Below are 21,174 nucleotides of genomic sequence, written 5' to 3'. Positions count from 1 at the left end.
CCCTGCTGTTTCTACCCACCAGATGTCAGTAGCACCCACTCCCTGCCTCCCATCATAAGACAACCAAAAATATCTCCAGACATTGCCAAATATTCTTTAGAGAAGAAAATTTGCCCCAGTCGAGAACAACTCTCTACTAAAGTATTTTCAAACTAAGATGTACAATCTGGCTGTCACTGCACTGCTGGGCAGTGGTACTTTATATATATCCTTAGTGGTAGCAGCACTATATCAAGGTTGAGGCTGGATAGGAAATTCTTCTAAAGAAATGGGTATATACTAGAACAAAGATGATGATGAAACTGACAATGATGATTATGTCACAAAGAAGAGAAAGTGCTTGTAATAATTTAACTGAAAGACCTTGAGGTGTCCCTCCCCCAGAGATAATCCAGAAATTTAAAAAGTTAATTTCAGAACCTTTACAAGATAACAAAAAGAACATTCATTAAAGTCAGTGTCACCCAAGGAGAATTGATTTTTGTTAACTTTTATTTTAGGTTCAGGGGTACATATGTAGGTTTGTTATATAGGTAAACTGCATGTCTCAGAGGTTTGGTGTACAGATAATTTTATAACCCTGGTAATAAGCACAGTACCCTATAGGTATTTTTTCTGATGCTCTCCCTCCTCTCACTCTCCATTCTCAAGTAGGCCCCAGTGTCTGTTTTCCCCTCCTGGTTTTCATGTGTTCTTGTTGTTTAGATTCCACTTATAAGTGAGAACATGTGGTATTTGTTTTTCTGTTCCTGTGTTACTTTCCCTAGGATTGTTGTCTCCAGCTCCATCCATGTTTCTGCAAAGGACATGATCTTATTCTTTTTTATGGCTGCATAGTATTCCTTGGTGTATATGCACCAAATTTTATCCAGTCTACTGTTGATGGACATTTAGGTTAATTCCATGTCTTTGCTATTTTGAATAGTGCTGCAATAAAGATAAATATGCTTGTATCTTTAGGGTAGAGCAATTTTTATTCCTTTGGGGATGTAACCAAAAATGGATTGCTGAGTTGAATGGTAATTCTGTTTCAAGTTATTTGAGGAATTGCCACACTGCTTTCCACAATGGCTGAATTAACTTACACTACCACCAGCGGTGCATAAGCATTCCATATTCTCCACAACCTTGTAAGTGATACAGGATTTTTTGCTCCTTAGTTCAGCTAAAATCCAGATTCTTGTCACATGACCAGGAAAAATGAGGCATGCAGACATATCAAAAGGTAAGGAGAATGGAGTTTATTAAAAGAAAGCTCTCGGTGAAAAAACAAGGTCCTGCCAACAGTCTCCCACCTCACAGATTGAATTCCAGACAACTACACACAAGCTAAAGAGGCCAGGCTCGTCCCCGCTGCATAAGGCGTGAATTCCCAGTGATTCCACTCCATTCTCGCAGTGCGCAGGCGGGCCCAAGTCCATTGTGGATGCCCACACAAGGCCTTGGGCAGGTTTCCTCATCTGCACAAAAGCATCTGATGTAAACTCTCGTGGGGTGGGTCAGAGATTCTCTGGGATCCTCCCTTATCTGCCTCCTGCATCTATCACCAGCATCTGTTATTTTTTGACTTTTAATAGCCAAAATAAATAATAGCCATTCTGACTGGTGTGAGATGGTATCTCACTGGGATTTTGACTTTCATTTCTCTAATGATTAGTGATAATGAACATTTTTTTCATAAGCTTGCTGGCCACATGTATGTCTTCTTTTGAAAAGTGTTTGTTTATGTCTTTTGCCCACTTTTTAAGGAAGTTGTTTGCTTTTTGCTTGTAAATTTGTTTAAGTTATAGATCCTGGATATTAGAACTTTTTTGGATGCTGTATTAGTCAAAGTTCTTTGAAGGGACAGAACTAATGGAATATATGTATATATGAAAGGAAGTTTATTGGGCTCACAGGATCACAGGCAAAGTTCCACCACAGGCCATCTGCAAACTGAGAAAGAAACCAGTAGTGTCTCAGTCCAAGTCCAAAAGCCTCAAAAGCGGGAAGCCAACAGTGCAGCTGTCAGTCTGCAGCCAAAGGCCCAAGAGACCCTGAAAAACCACAGGTGTAAGTCCAAGAGTCCCAAGGCAGAAGAATCTGGAGTCTGATGTCCAAGAGCAGGGGAACAGACAGAAGCATCCAGCACAGGAGAAAGATGAAAGCCAGAAGACTCAGCAAGCCAGATTATCTGACCTTCTTCTGCCTGCTTTGTTCTAGCCTTGCTGGCAGTACAATGGATGGTACCTACCTACATTGAGGTTGGGTCTTCCTTTCCTGGTCCACTGACTCAAATGTCAATCTCCTCTGCCAACACCCTCACAGATTCACCCAGAAACAATACCAGCTATCTAGGCATCCTTCAGTCCAATTAAGTTGACATCTAATATTAACCATCACAAGTCCACTGCTTGTCAACTTGGCATTTATACACAATTCCTGAAATCCTACTTAATCTCCAAAAAAGGCAATAATAAGGTCATAATTATGTCTAACATAATATAGCTATCCTTTGTACAACCAGAATTGCACTAATTATTAACCTAAATGATATTACATAAAGTTAACAAGACTTAAATGCTGATATGAAGTCAATAAATCTTATATCTCATCATAAAGAAAAAAGAAAAGAAATAAAATGAAGATATTTTCTTAGTACAAGTGTATACATCCACAAACATATTCTTAACAAAATAAGGACGAAATACTAATGACAATTACAGTTCTCATTTTTGCAACTGGTCACATGGCCGTAGCTGGTGTTGATAACTACCTTCTTGTACTACCCATTCTGTAATCCCTTTGCCTTCAGCAAGCACCTGGGCTGGTTATGGTTTTTTAACTGCTGGAGTGACCCAAACCTTTATTCTTGAAGGCCCTGGGCCATTTGTAGTCCTGCCTGGATTGGGCTGTTGCAGTTGCCCATTGACCTTAATCACAGAGCATGGTAATAGTAAGAGATGCCCTAAGGGATCTCCTGTATTCCAGACATATCCATCCTTACTTCCGTTGCAAGTAATAGTCTGATTTCATCTTGATAGTCTGGGTTAATCACTCCAGTCAACACTGTAACTCTCTTCTTAGCCCTAGAGGCAGGAGGAGCCCAAAGTGTCCAGGTGGCAATCATAACTTCCAGTTGAATGGAATCATTGTTGTGTATTCTGGTGGCAGTGTTCCTTCCTTTGGAACTAAGACCTCTGGGCCAGCAGAACATAATGCCATGGGAACAGGAAGCAAAAGTCTTGCTAGTGGGTCACTAGGGGTGATGGTGAGTGATGCCACTTCCACATCCACCCCTTGACTCCTGGACCATGAATCCTGGCTGCGGAAGAAACAGTACCATATTTTGAATGCTGATTTAGAACATACACAGCATTCTGGAGAACTTTGCCCCCAGCCCTGCAAAGTATTGTCACCTAGTTGGCATTGTAATTGTGACTTCAAAAGACCATTCCACCGTTCTGTCACTCCAGTTGCTTCAGGATGATGGGGAGCATGGTAATACCACAGTGAATACCATAAGCATGGGCCCACTGCTGAACTTCTTTAGCCATAAAGTGAGTGCCTTGGTCTGAGGCAATGCTGTTTGGAATACCGTGGTGCTGGATATGGTGGGAACTAACTTTGGGAAGGAATTCAGTTCATGGTTAGACTCTGAAACAAAATTGATAACAGCCTTTTCTCAAAAAGACCCCTTTCTTGCCTGGTGACCAGTCTACCTTTGCGGGACTAATAAATTCGCACAAGATTAGAAATTACAGTTTAGGGGACTTGCAGCCTCTGACTCCAAGAGTCTGAACTTCCCCAAAATGCTCCTGGGGGTAACATCACTATTGTAAAACCTAAGGTTAGTGCTTGAGATATGTTGCAGACCCTGCACTCGATAGATCAGTTGACATCACCCAGACCAGTAATCTGGCCCAATCAGTTCTGCCATTGCACCCAGAAACAGAACACATTAAGAAAACCTAACTTCGACCCCTTATGATTCCATCTCCAACCTGATCAATGAACACTCCCCACCTCCCAAGCCCCTACCCCCCAAATTATCTTTAAAAACTCTGATCCCGGAATGCTTGCTTCGGGGAGACTGATTTGATTAATAGTAAAACTCTGGTCTCTCACACAGCCAGCTCTGTGTGAATTACTCTTCTCTATTGCAATTCTCCTGTCTTGGTAAATAGGTTCTCTCTAGGCAGCGGGCAAGGTGAAGCCATAGAGCAATGGAAGAGAGTCAATTTTAAAAGGATTTTAGATGATAGCAGCCTTTAAATTTGAGTGTGCAGTTATCTTAGGAGTGAGTTTAACATTCAGATTCTTAGGCCTTACTCTCAGATATTTTGATTTATTAGTCCTGGTTGAGACCCAGGAAATATCATTTTAATAAGCACCCGAGGAACTTTTGACCAAGTGTATACTGGAGGTACACCCCAAGAAACATTGCTCTTTAGAATTAATAATGAGAGCACTGAATCTAGAGAAAGCTGAGTTACCTTGCTAATTAAGAAACACTTCCTTTACAAATACATGTTTTAATCTGGACTATTTACTGCTACCTTCTATTTACATGAGCAGACAGATGATAATGTAAATAAGTGAAGCAGCCCTGATGTATAACAATGGATATTGATGGGAATTGTGGGTAATTAAAATAGGGCAGTTGCTAGTAAGTAAAGGCGATCATTGCCAAGACAAAATAAGATTATCAGTGCCAGATCTCCTAATATTTAAACACAAACTGAAATTTAGTCCTTTAAATTGGAAAAAAAATTCATTATTCACAACTTAATTTTTGTTCAGGCTCTTAACTTTTCAGGCTGGATTTGGACTGCAAATAAATTTGTTGTGACACCAGCAGTAAAGAAGCCAGTTTACCCAAGGCAACACTGGGGGGACAAATCACAGTAGGAGGACCCATGTCTACGCTGAAGGCTTCCTTGACTTCCTTCTGCATTGTACACACAAATCTCTCACTGTTTTTTGTTTGCTTTTGTTTTTCGAGTGTCACTGCTGAAACGGTCAGTATGTAAATGTATCTATACTTGTACAACCAGTGTGTTGGCTTGAAGAGAGGAAAGGAAAAAGATGTCAAGGGGAAGGGAGGCCTTTTCAGCTCTGTATCCTAATGTTTCTGTGGAGACTGCCTCTATTGCATGCACTAGACACAGGCATCTGAGTTCCCTGTGGATATTAACAATCTAAGAGAGCAGGCAGAGACAAAACTGGGAGAGGGGCAAAAAGACACACAGCACTGGGGGAGTTTGCCAGAGTGCCAATCAGTCCAAGCTCTATGCTTATGTACGTAAGTGTGCTCAACTTGTGTACAAGCTGGAAGGTGGAGGCCAGAAATGGGTGAAATTAATAATAGTAGTTATCGATTATGAAGTGTCTAGTATTAATACATACCAGGTACCGAGCTAACCCCTGAACATACATACAGACAGACAGATGGACAGATGAACACAGATATTGCTTTAGACATCTGTTCTCAGACATTCAAGTCCAAAGTCATGAGGTCAAACAGAGGTCAAATAGAATGTTCCTATAGGCAACACTCATTCCCGATGTAACGCATTTCTCTAATTCTCAAATGCAATTCATTTTAGGACAAATGTAAATTTAATGATAGCTTTATCATTATTACTATTCACAGATAAGGAATTACTAGCCCATAAAGGTAAATACAAAATCCTGAAATAAATAATGTATGTGTGTGTGTGTGTGTGTGTGTGTGTGTGTGTGTGTGGTATGTGTGGTGTGTTTGTGTATAAAGTATCTTTAAATTGAGAAAATGCAGTTCTATTTCCTGAGAAAAAAGTCTCTGGAGCACCATGAAACCCTATCCATTGCAGCGGCCTGTAAGCAAGAAATGCACAGAAATTCCCAGGCAGCATTTTCACAGAATTAGAGGACTTTGGTAATTCTGTCATCTTCACGTGTTTTTGAAATTACAAATAAAGGCAGAAATAGCTTAAGAAGGGAAGTATTATTATTGAGGAAAGTTATGCCATCAAAACTGAGGTTTAAGAATTTGCATATGGAGACCTCGAAGACTTTCTGCATTTCAAATAACATTATTGGTACAAGAAAGTGCCCAGGACATTAGCCTTTGGATTGGGCATTTACACAGAGCCCCGAAGAAGACACACATTGGAAGCAGAACCTGGCAATGAAAAAGAATCAGTACCAAGATAATTTTTCTAAGCATGTCCTCATAATTATTCCCTTATTATTTGATATCAGTGTTTCACAATTATTAAGGTTGGGAGCAGGAACATTTTTCCTCACAGAGGACTGGCCCAAGAATGTAGAATGTTTACTGTCTCTATTCATTATCCACAATAAGTAAATGTTGTCATCACCAGGCCTAAACAAATAAATAAATAAATACCCCTGGCTATCAAATGCTTCTTATTAGGGCAGAACCACCACATTTAAAAATTACTACTTTGTTGTATCTGTGTACTGTTAATTGATTAAGTATGTGGTAAAATACCTGTTTAAAAAACTGTGGTATAGTCATGCGTCACTTAATGAAGAAGTTGTGTTCCGCAAAATGCATCGCTAGGCAATTTTGTCTTTGTGTGCACATCATACGGTATATTTACACAAATGTAGATAGTATATTCCATCATGATACACCAAAGCTATAGGGTATAGCCTATTGCTTCTAGGCTATGAACTTGCACAGCATGTTACTGTACTGAATACTCTACACAACTGTAAGACAATGGTAAGTATTTGTGTATCTAAACATAGAAAAAATACAATAAAAACATGCTATTATAATCTTATGGGACCATCTTCATATATGTGGTCCATTCTTGACCAAAATGTTGTCTTGAGGTGCATGACTGTACTTATTTCATGAGAGTCACTCAAATAATCTTGTTTGAGCTAACAACATCTAAAGAAAATAAACTATTCACGTATGATTAAAAATAAGTAACTGAGTATCATCAATCCACCAGTATTGATTCTCATGACTGTGGAGGATTGTGGGTCTGCCATGTGTGCATGGCCAGCCTCTGCCTTCACGCTCCTAAACTGAGAACAACCAAAGAGAGCCTCCGTCTGTTTGGTAATTACACTGATATGATTCACTAAAAGTCATCTTTGTTGTCACTTCTATTTAATTCCAGGGCTTGAAAAGAAGCAATTCCAAGATTTCTATTTCATTCATTCCAACCAAATTATAATCTCAATGCAAGTTCAACAAAATTATATTTATATCAATTGTAATTATTGCACTGTGCTAAATGTTTATAAAAAATAATAACCATGACATGGTATGAATCTCAAAAAACTCGTATTCTAGTAGGGAATAAGCACATGGGGCCAACAAATAATGAGTATAGAGTGTAATCAATTAAAGGAGATGACAGTACAATCCTGAGGCAACATAGAAGAGAATATCTCGATCATAGATAGAGAAAGCATTTTAAAAGGTACTCAAATGCTGAGCTCAGAACGATAAATAGGCATGTATCACATAAACAGGGAGTTTTTTGTTCTAAGCATAGTGATTGGCATATGGAAAGATAAGAGCCCTTTAACCAACATAGTTTGTGGAACAAAAGATATTCTAATACTTCTATAAAGAAGATCAAAGAGTAGTAGGAGATTAGCCTAAAGATAGAATCAGATTCAGCTCATTTAGGACCTAACACATGTAAAATAAGAATTTCATCCAATTGCGTAAAACCCTCAAATGGATCTCCACTAATATAGAATATACTCAGTAATTAAAAGGAATGGACATGCAACACCAAGAATGAAGCTCATAATAATTATGCTGAGTAAAATAAACCAGTGTATCTGGAAAATATAAACTAATCTACAGTAACATAAAGCAAATCAGTGGGAGGAGCCAAGATGGCCGAATAGGAACAGCTCCGGTCTACAGCTCCCAGCGTGAGCGACGCAGAAGACGGGTGATTTCTGCATTTCCATCTGAGGTACCGGGTTCATCTCAATAGGGAGTGCCAGACAGTGGGCGCAGGCCAGTGTGTGTGCGCACCGTGCGCAAGCCGAAGCAGGGCGAGGCATTGCCTCACCTGGGAAGCGCAAGGGGTCAGGGAGTTCCCTTTCCGAGTCAAAGAAAGGGGTGACGGACGTACCTGGAAAATCGGGTCACTCCCACCCGAATATTGCGCTTTTCAGACCGGCTTAAGAAACGGCGCACCACGAGACTATATCCCACACCTGGCTCAGAGGGTCCTACGCCCACGGAATCTCGCTGATTGCTAGCACAGCAGTCTGAGATCAAACTGCAAGGCGGCAACGAGGCTGGGGGAGGGGCGCCCGCCATTGCCCAGGCTTGCTTAGGTAAACAAAGCAGCCGGGAAGCTCGAACTGGGTGGAGCCCACCACAGCTCAAGGAGGCCTGCCTGCCTCTGTAGGCTCCACCTCTGGGGGCAGGGCACAGACAAACAAAAAGACAGCAATAACCTCTGCAGACTTAAGTGTCCCTGTCTGACAGCTTTGAAGAGAGCAGTGGTTCTCCCAGCACGCAGCTGGAGATCTGAGAACGGGCAGACTGCCTCCTCAAGTGGGTCCCTGACCCCTGACCCCCGAGCAGCCTAACTGGGAGGCACCCCCCAGCAGGGGCACACTGACACCTCACACGGCAGGGTATTCCAACAGACCTGCAGCTGAGGGTCCTGTCTGTTAGAAGGAAAACTAACAACCAGAAAGGACATCTACACCGAAAACCCATCTGTACATCACCATCATCAAAGACCAAAAGTAGATAAAACCACAAAGATGGGGAAAAAACAGAACAGAAAAACTGGAAACTCTAAAACGCAGAGCGCCTCTCCTCCTCCAAAGGAACGCAGTTCCTCACTAGCAACAGAACAAAGCTGGATGGAGAATGATTTTGACGAGCTGAGAGAAGAAGGCTTCAGACGATCAAATTACTCTGAGCTACGGGAGGACATTCAAACCAAAGGCAAAGAAGTTGAAAACTTTGAAAAAAATTTAGAAGAATGTATAACTAGAATAACCAATACAGAGAAGTGCTTAAAGGAGCTGATGGAGCTGAAAACCAAGGCTCGAGAACTACGTGAAGAATGCAGAAGCCTCAGGAGCCGATGCGATCAACTGGAAGAAAGGGTATCAGCAATGGAAGATGAAATGAATGAAATGAAGCGAGAAGGGAAGTTTAGAGAAAAAAGAATAAAAAGAAATGAGCAAAGCCTCCAAGAAATATGGGACTATGTGAAAAGACCAAATCTACGTCTGATTGGTGTACCTGAAAGTGATGTGGAGAATGGAACCAAGTTGGAAAACACTCTGCAGGATATTATCCAGGAGAACTTCCCCAATCTAGCAAGGCAGGCCAACGTTCAGATTCAGGAAATACAGAGAACGCCACAAAGATACTCCTCGAGAAGAGCAACTCCAAGACACATACTTGTCAGATTCACCAAAGTTGAAATGAAGGAAAAAATGTTAAGGGCAGCCAGAGAGAAAGGTCAGGTTACCCTCAAAGGAAAGCCCATCAGACTAACAGCGGATCTCTCGGCAGAAACCCTACAAGCCAGAAGAGAGTGGGGGCCAATATTCAACATTCTTAAAGAAAAGAATTTTCAACCCAGAATTTCATATCCAGCCAAACTAAGCTTCATAAGTGAAGGAGAAATAAAATACTTTATAGACAAGCAAATGCTGAGAGATTTTGTCACCACCAGGCCTGCCCTAAAAGAGCTCCTGAAGGAATCACTAAACATGGAAAGGAACAACCGGTACCAGCCGCTGCAAAATCATGCCAAAATGTAAAGACCATCGAGACTAGGAAGAAACTGCATCAACTAATGAGCAAAATCACCAGCTAACATCATAATGACAGGATCAAATTCACACATAACAATATTAACTTTAAATATAAATGGACTAAATTCTGCAATTAAAAGACACAGACTGGCAAGTTGGATAAAGAGTCAAGACCCATCAGTGTGCTGTATTCAGGAAACCCATCTCACGTGCAGAGACACACATAGGCTCAAAATAAAAGGATGGAGGAAGATCTACCAAGCAAATGGAAAACAAAAAAAGGCAGGGGTTGCAATCCTAGTCTCTGATAAAACAGACTTCAAACCAACGAAGATCAAAAGAGACAAAGAAGGCCATTACATAATGGTAAAGGGATCAATTCAACAAGAGGAGCTAACTATCCTAAATATTTATGCACCCAATACAGGAGCACCCAGATTCATAAAGCAAGTCCTCAGTGAGCTACAAAGAGACTTAGACTCCCACACATTAATAATGGGAGACTTTAACACCCCACTGTCAACATTAGACAGATCAACGAGACAGAAAGTCAACAAGGATACCCAGGAATTGAACTCAGCTCTGCACCAAGCAGACCTAATAGACATCTACAGAACTCTCCACCCCAAATCAACAGAATATACATTTTTTTCAGCACCACACCACACCTATTCCAAAATTGACCACATAGTTGGAAGTAAAGCTCTCCTCAGCAAATGTAAAAGAACAGAAATTATAACAAACTATCTCTCAGACCACAGTGCAATCAAACTAGAACTCAGGATTAAGAATCTCACTCAAAGCCGCTCAACTACATGGAAACTGAACAACCTGCTCCTGAATGACTACTGGGTACATAACGAAATGAAGGCAGAAATAAAGATGTTCTTTGAAACCAACGAGAACAAAGACACCACATACCAGAATCTCTGGGATGCATTCAAAGCAGTGTGTAGAGGGAAATTTATAGCACTAAATGCCTACAAGAGAAAGCAGGAAAGATCCAAAATTGACACCCTAACATCACAATTAAAAGAACTAGAAAAGCAAGAGCAAACACATTCAAAAGCTAGCAGAAGGCAAGAAATAACTAAAATCAGAGCAGAACTGAAGGAAATAGAGACACAAAAAACCCTTCAAAAAATCAATGAATCCAGGAGCTGGTTTTTTGAAAGGATCAACAAAATTGATAGACCGCTAGCAAGACTAATAAAGAAAAAAAGAGAGAAGAATCAAATAGACACAATAAAAAATGATAAAGGGGATATCACCACCGATCCCACAGAAATACAAACTACCATCAGAGAATACTACAAACACCTCTATGCAAATAAACTAGAAAATCTAGAAGAAATGGATACATTCCTCGACACATACACTCTCCCAAGACTAAACCAGGAAGAAGTTGAATCTCTGAATAGACCAATAACAGGCTCTGAAATTGTGGCAATAATCAATAGTTTACCAACCAAAAAGAGTCCAGGACCAGATGGATTCACAGCCGAATTCTACCAGAGGTACAAGGAGGAACTGGTACCATTCCTTCTGAAACTATTCCAATCAATAGAAAAAGAGGGAATCCTCCCTAACTCATTTTATGAGGCCAGCATCATTCTGATACCAAAGCCGGGCAGAGACACAACCAAAAAAGAGAATTTTAGACCAATATCCTTGATGAACATTGATGCAAAAATCCTCAATAAAATACTGGCAAACCGAATCCAGCAGCACATCAAAAAGCTTATCCACCATGATCAAGTGGGCTTCATCCCTGGGATGCAAGGCTGGTTCAATATACGCAAATCAATAAATGTAATCCAGCATATAAACAGAGCCAAAGACAAAAACCACATGATTATCTCAATAGATGCAGAAAAAGCCTTTGACAAAATTCAACAACCCTTCATGCTAAAAACTCTCAATAAATTAGGTATTGATGGGACGTATTTCAAAATAATAAGAGCTATCTATGACAAACCCACAGCCAATATCATACTGAATGGGCAAAAACTGGAAGCATTCCCTTTGAAAACTGGCACAAGACAGGGATGCCCTCTCTCACCGCTCCTATTCAACATAGTGTTGGAAGTTCTGGCCAGGGCAATCAGGCAGGAGAAGGAAATAAAGGGTATTCAATTAGGAAAAGAGGAAGTCAAATTGTCCCTGTTTGCAGACGACATGATTGTTTATCTAGAAAACCCCATCATCTCAGCCCAAAATCTCCTTAAGCTGATAAGCAACTTCAGCAAAGTCTCAGGATACAAAATCAATGTACAAAAATCACAAGCATTCTTATACACCAACAACAGACAAACAGAGAGCCAAATCATGGGTGAACTCCCATTCACAATTGCTTCAAAGAGAATAAAATACTTAGGAATCCAACTTACAAGGGATGTGAAGGACCTCTTCAAGGAGAACTACAAACCACTGCTCAAGGAAATAAAAGAGGACACAAACAAATGGAAGAACATTCCATGCTCATGGGTAGGAAGAATCAATATCGTGAAAATGGCCATACTGCCCAAGGTAATTTACAGATTCAATGCCATCCCCATCAAGCTACCAATGACTTTCTTCACAGAATTGGAAAAAACTACTTTAAAGTTCATATGGAACCAAAAAAGAGCCCGCATTGCCAAGTCAATCCTAAGCCAAAAGAACAAAGCTGGAGGCATCACACTACCTGACTTCAAACTATACTACAAGGCTACAGTAACCAAAACAGCATGGTACTGGTACCAAAACAGAGATATAGATCAATGGAACAGAACAGAGCCCTCAGAAATAATGCCGCATATCTACAACTATCTGATCTTTGACAAACCTGAGAAAAACAAGCAATGGGGAAAGGATTCCCTATTTAATAAATGGTGCTGGGAAAACTGGCTAGCCATATGTAGAAAGCTGAAACTGGATCCCTTCCTTACACCTTATACAAAAATCAATTCAAGATGGATTAAAGACTTAAATGTTAGACCTAAAACCATAAAAACCCTAGAGGAAAACCTAGGCATTACCATTCAGGACATAGGCGTGGGCAAGGACTTCATGTCCAAAACACCAAAAGCAATGGCAACAAAAACCAAAATTGACAAATGGGATCTAATTAAACTAAAGAGCTTTTGCACAGCAAAAGAAACTACCATCAGAGTGAACAGGCAACCTACAACATGGGAGAAAATTTTTGCAACCTACTCATCTGACAAAGGGCTAATATCCAGAATCTACAATGAACTCAAACAAATTTACAAGAAAAAAACAAACAACCCCATCAAAAAGTGGGCGAAGGACATGAACAGACACTTCTCAAAAGAAGACATTTATGCAGCCAAAAAACACATGAAAAAAATGCTCATCATCACTGGCCATCAGAGAAATGCAAATCAAAACCACTATGAGATATCATCTCACACCAGTTAGAATGGCAATCATTAAAAAGTCAGGAAACAACAGGTGCTGGAGAGGATGTGGAGAAATAGGAACACTTTTACACTGTTGGTGGGACTGTAAACTAGTTCAACCATTGTGGAAGTCAGTGTGGCGATTCCTCAGGGATCTAGAACTAGAAATACCATTTGACCCAGCCATCCCATTACTGGGTATATACCCAAAGGACTATAAATCATGCTGCTATAAAGACACATGCACACGTATGTTTATTGCGGCACTATTCACAATAGCAAAGACTTGGAACCAACCCAAATGTCCAACAATGATAGTCTGGATTAAGAAAATGTGGCACATATACACCATGGAATACTATGCAGCCATAAAAAATGATGAGTTCATATCCTTTGTAGGGACATGGATGAAATTGGAAACCATCATTCTCAGTAAACTATCGCAAGAACAAAAAACCAAACACTGCATATTCTCACTCATAGGTGGGAATTGAACAATGAGATCACATGGACACAGGAAGGGGAATATCACACTCTGGGGACTGTGGTGGGGTCGGGGGAGGGGGGAGGGATAGCATTGGGAGATATACCTAATGCTAGATGACACATTAGTGGGTGCAGTGCACCAGCATGGCACATGTATACATATGTAACTAACCTGCACAATGTGCACATGTACCCTAAAACTGAGAGTATAATAAAAAAAAAAAAAATAAAAAAAAAAAAAAAAATAAAAAAAAGAAAAAAAAAAAAAAAAAAAAAAAAAAAAAAGCAAATCAGTGGTTGCTTGGGGATGGAGGTGGGAGTGACATGGGAGGGCAGGAGAGAGAGATGACAAAGGAGTGCAAGGAAGCTTTTGAGATTGATGGATATGTTTACTCTCTTGATTGTGGGAGGGTTTCATGGACGTATTTATGTCAGAAATTATGAAATTATACATGTTAAACATGTATCATGTATTGTATGCCAATTATACCTTAACAAAGTTGTCAAAAATTGAACAAACAAGCATTATGCATTGCTTTTTTCTGCCTAACAGCTCTGTGAGAATGTACATAGAACCCAAAATAATAGTTTCCTATTAGAGTGGTGTAAGAACTGGGTGAATGGGGCCCAGGGAGGAAGGAGATTTTTCACTTACCCCTTAATTCAATTAATCAAATATTTAGTATCTTCTACGTGACAAATACTGCAATTGACATTAAAGATACACTAGTAAACAATACTTTAAAACTCTCTATACTAGAGAAGTATATGGAATTACATAATCATGTAATTTAATGTAAAATATTAATAGAAAATTACAATTTTTACTTTAGTTGTAGCATTTATTTCTAAAATTATCTATGATTATATATTAAATATAATTGTAACATTCCATATATCGATATTATCTAAATATCTATCTAATTATCTAAATATCTAATATCTAATTAGGTATTTATCTCTATATATAGATAGATATTTATATATGATATATAAATATCTATATATATATTACAATTATATTTGTAATATATAGATAAGACATGATAGGTAATATTATAGATAGATAATATTATGTTACTATGTATAATTATATTATATATTGTATATTATATATAATTATAATATACATTATAGTATTATAATGTTATATAATAATATAATGTTATGTATTATTATATCTATGGATATAATATGATAATAGATGTCTATCTATAGTTCCTCCTTCCTAGAGTGACTTTTCTGGCCTTTTACTTATCCACCTTTTAAATTGTTTATTCTCAAGGCAGATCTAAAGTGCTCCCTCCTTGTGAAGTCTTTCGTAAGCTCAGCTGTACACTGAGACCTTCTTGTGTGTTCTCACAAAGCCTCAACTATACTTCAACCAAGTAAGAGGTTAAACTTTCCTTCACTTATTTATTGACCTGTGCCTCTTTCACTAGAGTGTCATCTTTACAAAAGCCATCATGTGTGTATTCTGAGCAGTCATTAAAGAGCCCAACGCACTGGTATATACTCAGCGAAAGAATTAATGCAATGTTTCTCATTCTTGCCTTAGTCCCTACATTCTAAGACAAGATGTAGATAGCAAAGAGGTATTGTCTGCTGTGCCAATCCCAGTCTTCCAGGGTTGGAAAGCAGCAGTGTATCAACCAGAACCTCAGTGGTGTTTCTGAGTTCCACAGGACAAAGGATCATGTTTGTAAGAGGATATTAGGATATAAGCACCATATACTTGTGATTTCTAGATTTATGAATGGGCAACTAAAACATTGTATGAAACATTTTAAATCAGTTTTTCTATCCAAAATGGAGGACCACCATCTTTTTCTAGAAAGCATTTTTTGTTGTTGTTTTGTTGTTGTTGTTGTTTGTTTCTATTTTCCATTTTGGGCGCTAAAATTGAGATGCCCTTCAGCTTCTCACACGTCCTTGTTTAGAAGAGAATATAAAGCAGTAACAGATATATGGCTCTATAAAAAATAAACTTTAAATTGGGGGCGGCTGAGAGACAGGAAGAGAGAAAACGAAAATACAGGGAGATAACTTAGTGGAAGCTGGATAAAGAAATAGGAGGCGTGAGAATTCACCCTGCCAGGAAAGGCCAAAGCATTATAGGTGCTGAATGCCAGATTCTGTGGAAAACATGCCCTGCATGGCTAATACTTCGTGAATAATAAGGAATTTCATCTACACTCTGAGTCAGGTCAAAGAGAAGAGAATGGCCACAAGAATCATTGACACCAATTAGGTAGAGAGTTTAGTGTAAACCACAAGAACACAGAGATGTAAGTGACCATAAATATGTAGCAGCTACACAAATTTTATAGAAGCAACGGATTTTCACAAGGCATGATAGAGGAACCAAAATAATTTTATGAAAATATCAAAGGACAGGATGATCTGGGTTACAAAGAGCATAATAGGCTCACATAATTCTTTACAGATTACAATAGGGTTTTGATGATTATTTTAGTGAATTTCTATGATGATTCTGGAAGGTAAGCAAGTTAGAAACTATTGTCCATTTGGAAGGAAATGAAACTTCCAGTAGTTAAAAATCATCCTGGAGCCAGTAATTATGGGAGGGTCAATATAACAGGCCTCTGCCTCCCCTGCTCTCTTCCCATCTCTCTCTCCTTTTCCTCTTCCTCTTTCTCTGCCCATTCCCCTTCTTTTTCCCTCCTCCCTCCTTTCCTTCCTTCTTTCCGTTCCTTCCCCTTCCCTTTCCTTCCTTCTTTCTTCCTTTTCTTTTTTTCTCTTTCTTTTTTTCTATTGCTATTTCCACTATACCAGACTGAGCTTATGTGAGTCTTCATTTAATAGTTTAAAATTTATACCTCAGTGGTCATAGTTTTGATAGTTTTGAACACTAGTGGTAAACATACACAGCTTTAGATGAAGTTATAGGAAGTAAAGAAGATAAAGCCTCTTTTTTTATAGTAGGGATACACAATATGTGATTTACTTTTTGAAAAATCACTGTGTAATATAAATGTATATGTTGTCATTAATTTTTATTTTGCTGCAGGAATTAAGCACAGTGAAAGACTATGATGGCATAGGTCTGGCTTGATTATCTTTAACGACTTAAACTTTTACTAAAATGGGGCTTCTTGGGGTTTTATATGTATTCATACACTAGTGTCTATAATATATTTATATATGTGTATATACCTACACACACACATGTAATTTTAAACAAACAATTTTAAACCAAAGCAGAGAAATTCCCTGTTTACTTTTGTGGTCTTTTGATTGGATTAGGAAATTGCATTTATAAAGGCCCCTTTGACCAGGAATAATTTTGTAATCTGGATGGGAAATTTCTTTCTTCTTTGATGAAGACAATTTTTTTTTTCTTTTTATGGGAACTAAACTATTCTTCAATTCCCCTGGTGGGATATAAATTAATATACTAGAACAGAGTTTACCCTCAACAGCTGCAAGTTGCACCTGTGCAGTGTTTTTTTAATCCTTTTTCGCCACAGTGTGATAGAGAAAAAAGCAGGGGGAAATGCTTTATGGGACCTTCCAACTGAGATGCTTAATGCATTATTAGGAACAGAAATCCTCAGTGGGATTTAGCCATGCCTATTAGGAATTAGGCTTAGAGAACCAAATATGAAAAGTATATAAAATGTTCTAACCCTGCACTGAGATTGGCAGTAGAATCCACAGTGGTCATTTTCTGGTTTCTCTCCAAATTGTCATACTAAGTTTCCCCAGATAATTTTATCTTCTGCCTTCTTTCATCCATAGCCTATAGAGCAGAGGCATTTATAACACCACCCTGGCATTGTGTGAGCATCATTGGCTAAGACAGAGCACACAATCAGCTTTGCTGTGTGCCCGCTCCGCATCATTAAGCATTAATGAAGTGTTCTCTAATTGTTTCTCATTCCCAGCTCCCAGGCTCTTTATTGCTTGGTACTCCTGTGCAGCTACCCTTGGAAGTCAAGCTAATTCTTTTAACTATTGAGATGGCAGACACACTCTTTCCTGTGGAATTAATGTCATTAACCTGAGATGAATTGGAAGGCAAAGGAAGAAGGATGTTTCTGATCATGCCTATCTAAAAACATCCTCATTTTTGCTGTTAGTTGCCAGTTCTTTCACCTCTGAATTGCAAACTCTGTCACTAACTTTCAACTTTGTGTGAAGACCTATGCCAACTACCAAAACTATCTGCATCATTGATGGCTATTTAGATAATTTTTCAGCAATAAATATGAATACATGTTTAAGACTTCTGGGGAAACTAGAGAAAACCTTGTAAATAATGTATATGAACATAAAATTGTTTGGTAAATACAGAAGATTAAAAGGAGTCAACTAATTTACACCAGCACACAGAAAGAAAAACACTTCAAATGCCTCATATATTGATATATGTATTTTTCTTAAAAACTGACATAAGTATCTCAGCAAAAAAAAATTTTACAATCCCTCCCATAAGAAATAGAAGTAATGATAAACTTATATGTATGCGTTGGAGGTGGGAGGGAACTTTCATTGCTGACTACTAGAAAAGAAGTAAAAAGAGCAAATGCTAACAAAGACTGTTGCCACACTTGACAGTTTAATAAGTGGAGATTATGAGAGTATTATTATCTTAGCAGATTATTTCATCTCACCCAGGATCTCAAGTGGCAAATCTAGCTTAGAATTCAGTGCCAACTTTTACCTTAGACATATTTGGGGACCTGAAAAATCCAAAGGCAGCAAACAGTTCCTGTTGACCAAGCAGGAAAATAAAATTCAGGAAGAGGTAATGGTGAGCTTGTGAAATGCAACAACCTCAAGAGTTATTAGACAGAAGACTTTTCATTTTTAATGAGGGCTTCAGGGGATTTAGGGTACACAAATGAATGTGGTTCTGATTAAAAATATCAGTCACATATTGCATGAAAACATTTAAACTAAGACTAACATACAATAAGGTTTCTATGGGGTCAGGTTATGTCAAAATGCATTCTAAAGAATTCGTGTGATTAATATGAATACATTGAACTACAAAGGAAAAATACCAATTATTTTTTATTTACCTTGTAATGATAATGTCCTATCGTGGAACCCAAAGTATCCCTAGAACATACATTCCTTTATTTTATTATTATTTTTTGTGTGTGTGTGAGATAGAGTATCACTCTATCCCCCAGGCTGGAGTGCAGTGGCACTATCTCGGCTCACTGCAACCTCGGCCTCCTGGGTTCAAGCAATTCTCCTGCCTCAGCCTCCTCAGTAGCTGGGACTACAGGCATGCACCACCATGCCTGGCTAATTTTTGTATTTTTTAGTAGAGATGGAGTTTCACCATATTGGCCAGGCTGGTCTTGAATTCCTGACCTCAAGTGATCCACCCACCTCAGCCTCCCAAAGTGCTGGGATTACAAATGTGAGCCACCGCGCACGGCCAATTCTGCGATAATTTTAGATCACCAAATTTCTCCTTTCCCTTTATGGTCCCTTATAAAAGTGTTAGCCAGTCATATCTTTGATTACGTAGATGCATCCACCTCTTTTTACTTGATTTGTTGACCTTGTGGCTGTAAGGGTTGAAGGTTTGTGGCACTGTCCCACAAGAACGTATGTTGGTGGCCAAGACCTCTGAGTGCCTGTCACTTCTCTTTCGTTTGTATTGCACAGTTGAGGGAGTCTGTTCTTTGAATGATTGCAGGGACAGGGCCTGGGAGACAGTCAGAAATCGGAGCGACAACTTAGTTCAAAAGAGAGCCCCTCATCGCAGACTGATATGCTTCAGAGGACACGTGCCTGCAGCTGGCATTTCCACCACATCTATGGGCTTAAAATTACATATTTACTTAAAGCCATAGGATTTTCAGATCTGCATGGGAGATTCGATTTTTCCTAATCTTATAGTCAAAGAAAATGGCATCTACAGAAGTGAAGGAGCACTTTTGGCTGGTGTCAGGGCTAGTATTGAACTCCCATCTGCTGGCTCTCAGCACCTCCGGAAACAAGGCTCTTTCTATAGTCCCTTAATGTTTTCCTTCTTTCATAGCCTTGAACCAGGGCAGCTGGGGTGATACATACACCCTTAGTGTAAGAAGTAGATTTGTTTTCTTCTTTTTAGATTACAGCCTCTCTCATGTACCACTTAAGTCACCTTGCAAATATGAATAGTTGATTTTACAAGAAGCCCTTTAAATTAAAATTGGTTTATTTAGTATAATTCCATTATCTTTTCTGGTAAAGCCATTTAAAGCCTAGGTCCTGTTTGTGTTTGATATCTCAGTAATTTGTTGATATAGGATCTCTCAGTATGTCTGTAAAAGAGGTATTTAATCAATGTATTTGATTCAATTGTTTCCTTGAATTATTGTGTGGTTGGGTAGTTTTCAAAAGGAGAGGGGGGCTGTAGTTAAATGGATAAAATGGTTCATCCAGCAGAATTCAAGTCTCTTTAGAGTACAGCATAACTCTTTGTATGAAGAAGGTTATGTGTACAGTAGACAAGTACTTCCAGCTGTACTGTCTTACCTGGCCTCCAAATTACTCCTCCCAGGCCTAGGCAGTATAAAAAAAGGTGTTAAGGGGCTGTTAACAATAGGGCTGGGAAGGAGAGTTCAATCTATTCCAAATGTGGCAGTTGACACCTTGTCTTAACCTTGTTCTCAGTCTAACACCTCATATATCATTGACAATGGTCCAATCAGGAATCACACCCATCAGCTGAAGTATCATGATTAGGTGCTAATAATTAGGGCTGGAATTTCTTTGACTAAAGAAAACATTTTAGTAGTCTGTTTCTCAGAGTTTCACACTAGAACTTTTTTACCTGGCTTTGCAATTATACTTTTTAACCCAAGTTTGCGATGTATTTATTTTTCTTATTTTGTCCACACTATTTGGAAAACATGAGTGTGATTTTTTTTACCCTATTTGGAAACCACAGGATATGATATCCTGTGATGCACTGCAGAACCTAATTTATCAACAGATCTGAATTTAACGCTGCCCTTTTATAGAACAAGAGTATGAAATACAAATAAGATTTTGGTACTATTTTGAAAGCTGTTTTGATCCAAAGGACCTCTTGCAAGAGCTTCAGACCATTGTATTAAAAGATATTCCCATGAAACTGACTACATTAACAATGGGAAATTGTAACACGGATACGTGGAGCAGGGACAGAAAGAAGGATACAAGCTGAGAAGACATTTGAAAACAAATGAAATGCTGAAAAGAGCAGAGGACATTTCTTACAGTGGGGCAAGGAATGGAGGAAATAAGGTGCTTGACTAATGTAGAACATGTTAAGGGAGCTAAATCTCTTCAGATATGGTAATGCTGACAGAGCTCTTCAGTGAGACAGCAGCCGAGTACAGGTACAGGTGACTCAGAATACAGCCCAGGTACATACAATGCCAAATAATGAGATGTCCTTCAAAACCAAGCCAAAATTATTCTTAGATTTTCAATGTTATTCAAAATTATTGTTCTCCAAAACTCACCTCTAATGGCTTACAGAGGAGCAAAAATGCATCAGACCATGCAACAA

At 38.9% G+C, this 21,174-nt stretch overlaps 1 annotated feature.

Moving 5' to 3' along the window:
• Window positions 7,522-8,082: an enhancer, noted in NCBI's record as "NANOG-H3K27ac-H3K4me1 hESC enhancer chr4:19085315-19085875 (GRCh37/hg19 assembly coordinates)". NCBI's record gives its function as "activates a minimal SCP1, AML or CMV promoter by ChIP-STARR-seq in primed H9 embryonic stem cells {active_cell/tissue: H9 hESC(primed)}" and the evidence as "EXISTENCE:reporter gene assay evidence [ECO:0000049][PMID:30033119]".

The sequence above is a fragment of the Homo sapiens genome, chromosome 4 (genome assembly GCF_000001405.40).
Source record: "Homo sapiens chromosome 4, GRCh38.p14 Primary Assembly".
Lineage (NCBI taxonomy): Eukaryota > Metazoa > Chordata > Mammalia > Primates > Hominidae > Homo > Homo sapiens.
Note: the sequence above shows the minus strand (reverse complement) of the source record. Positions and strands in the feature narration are given on the sequence as shown.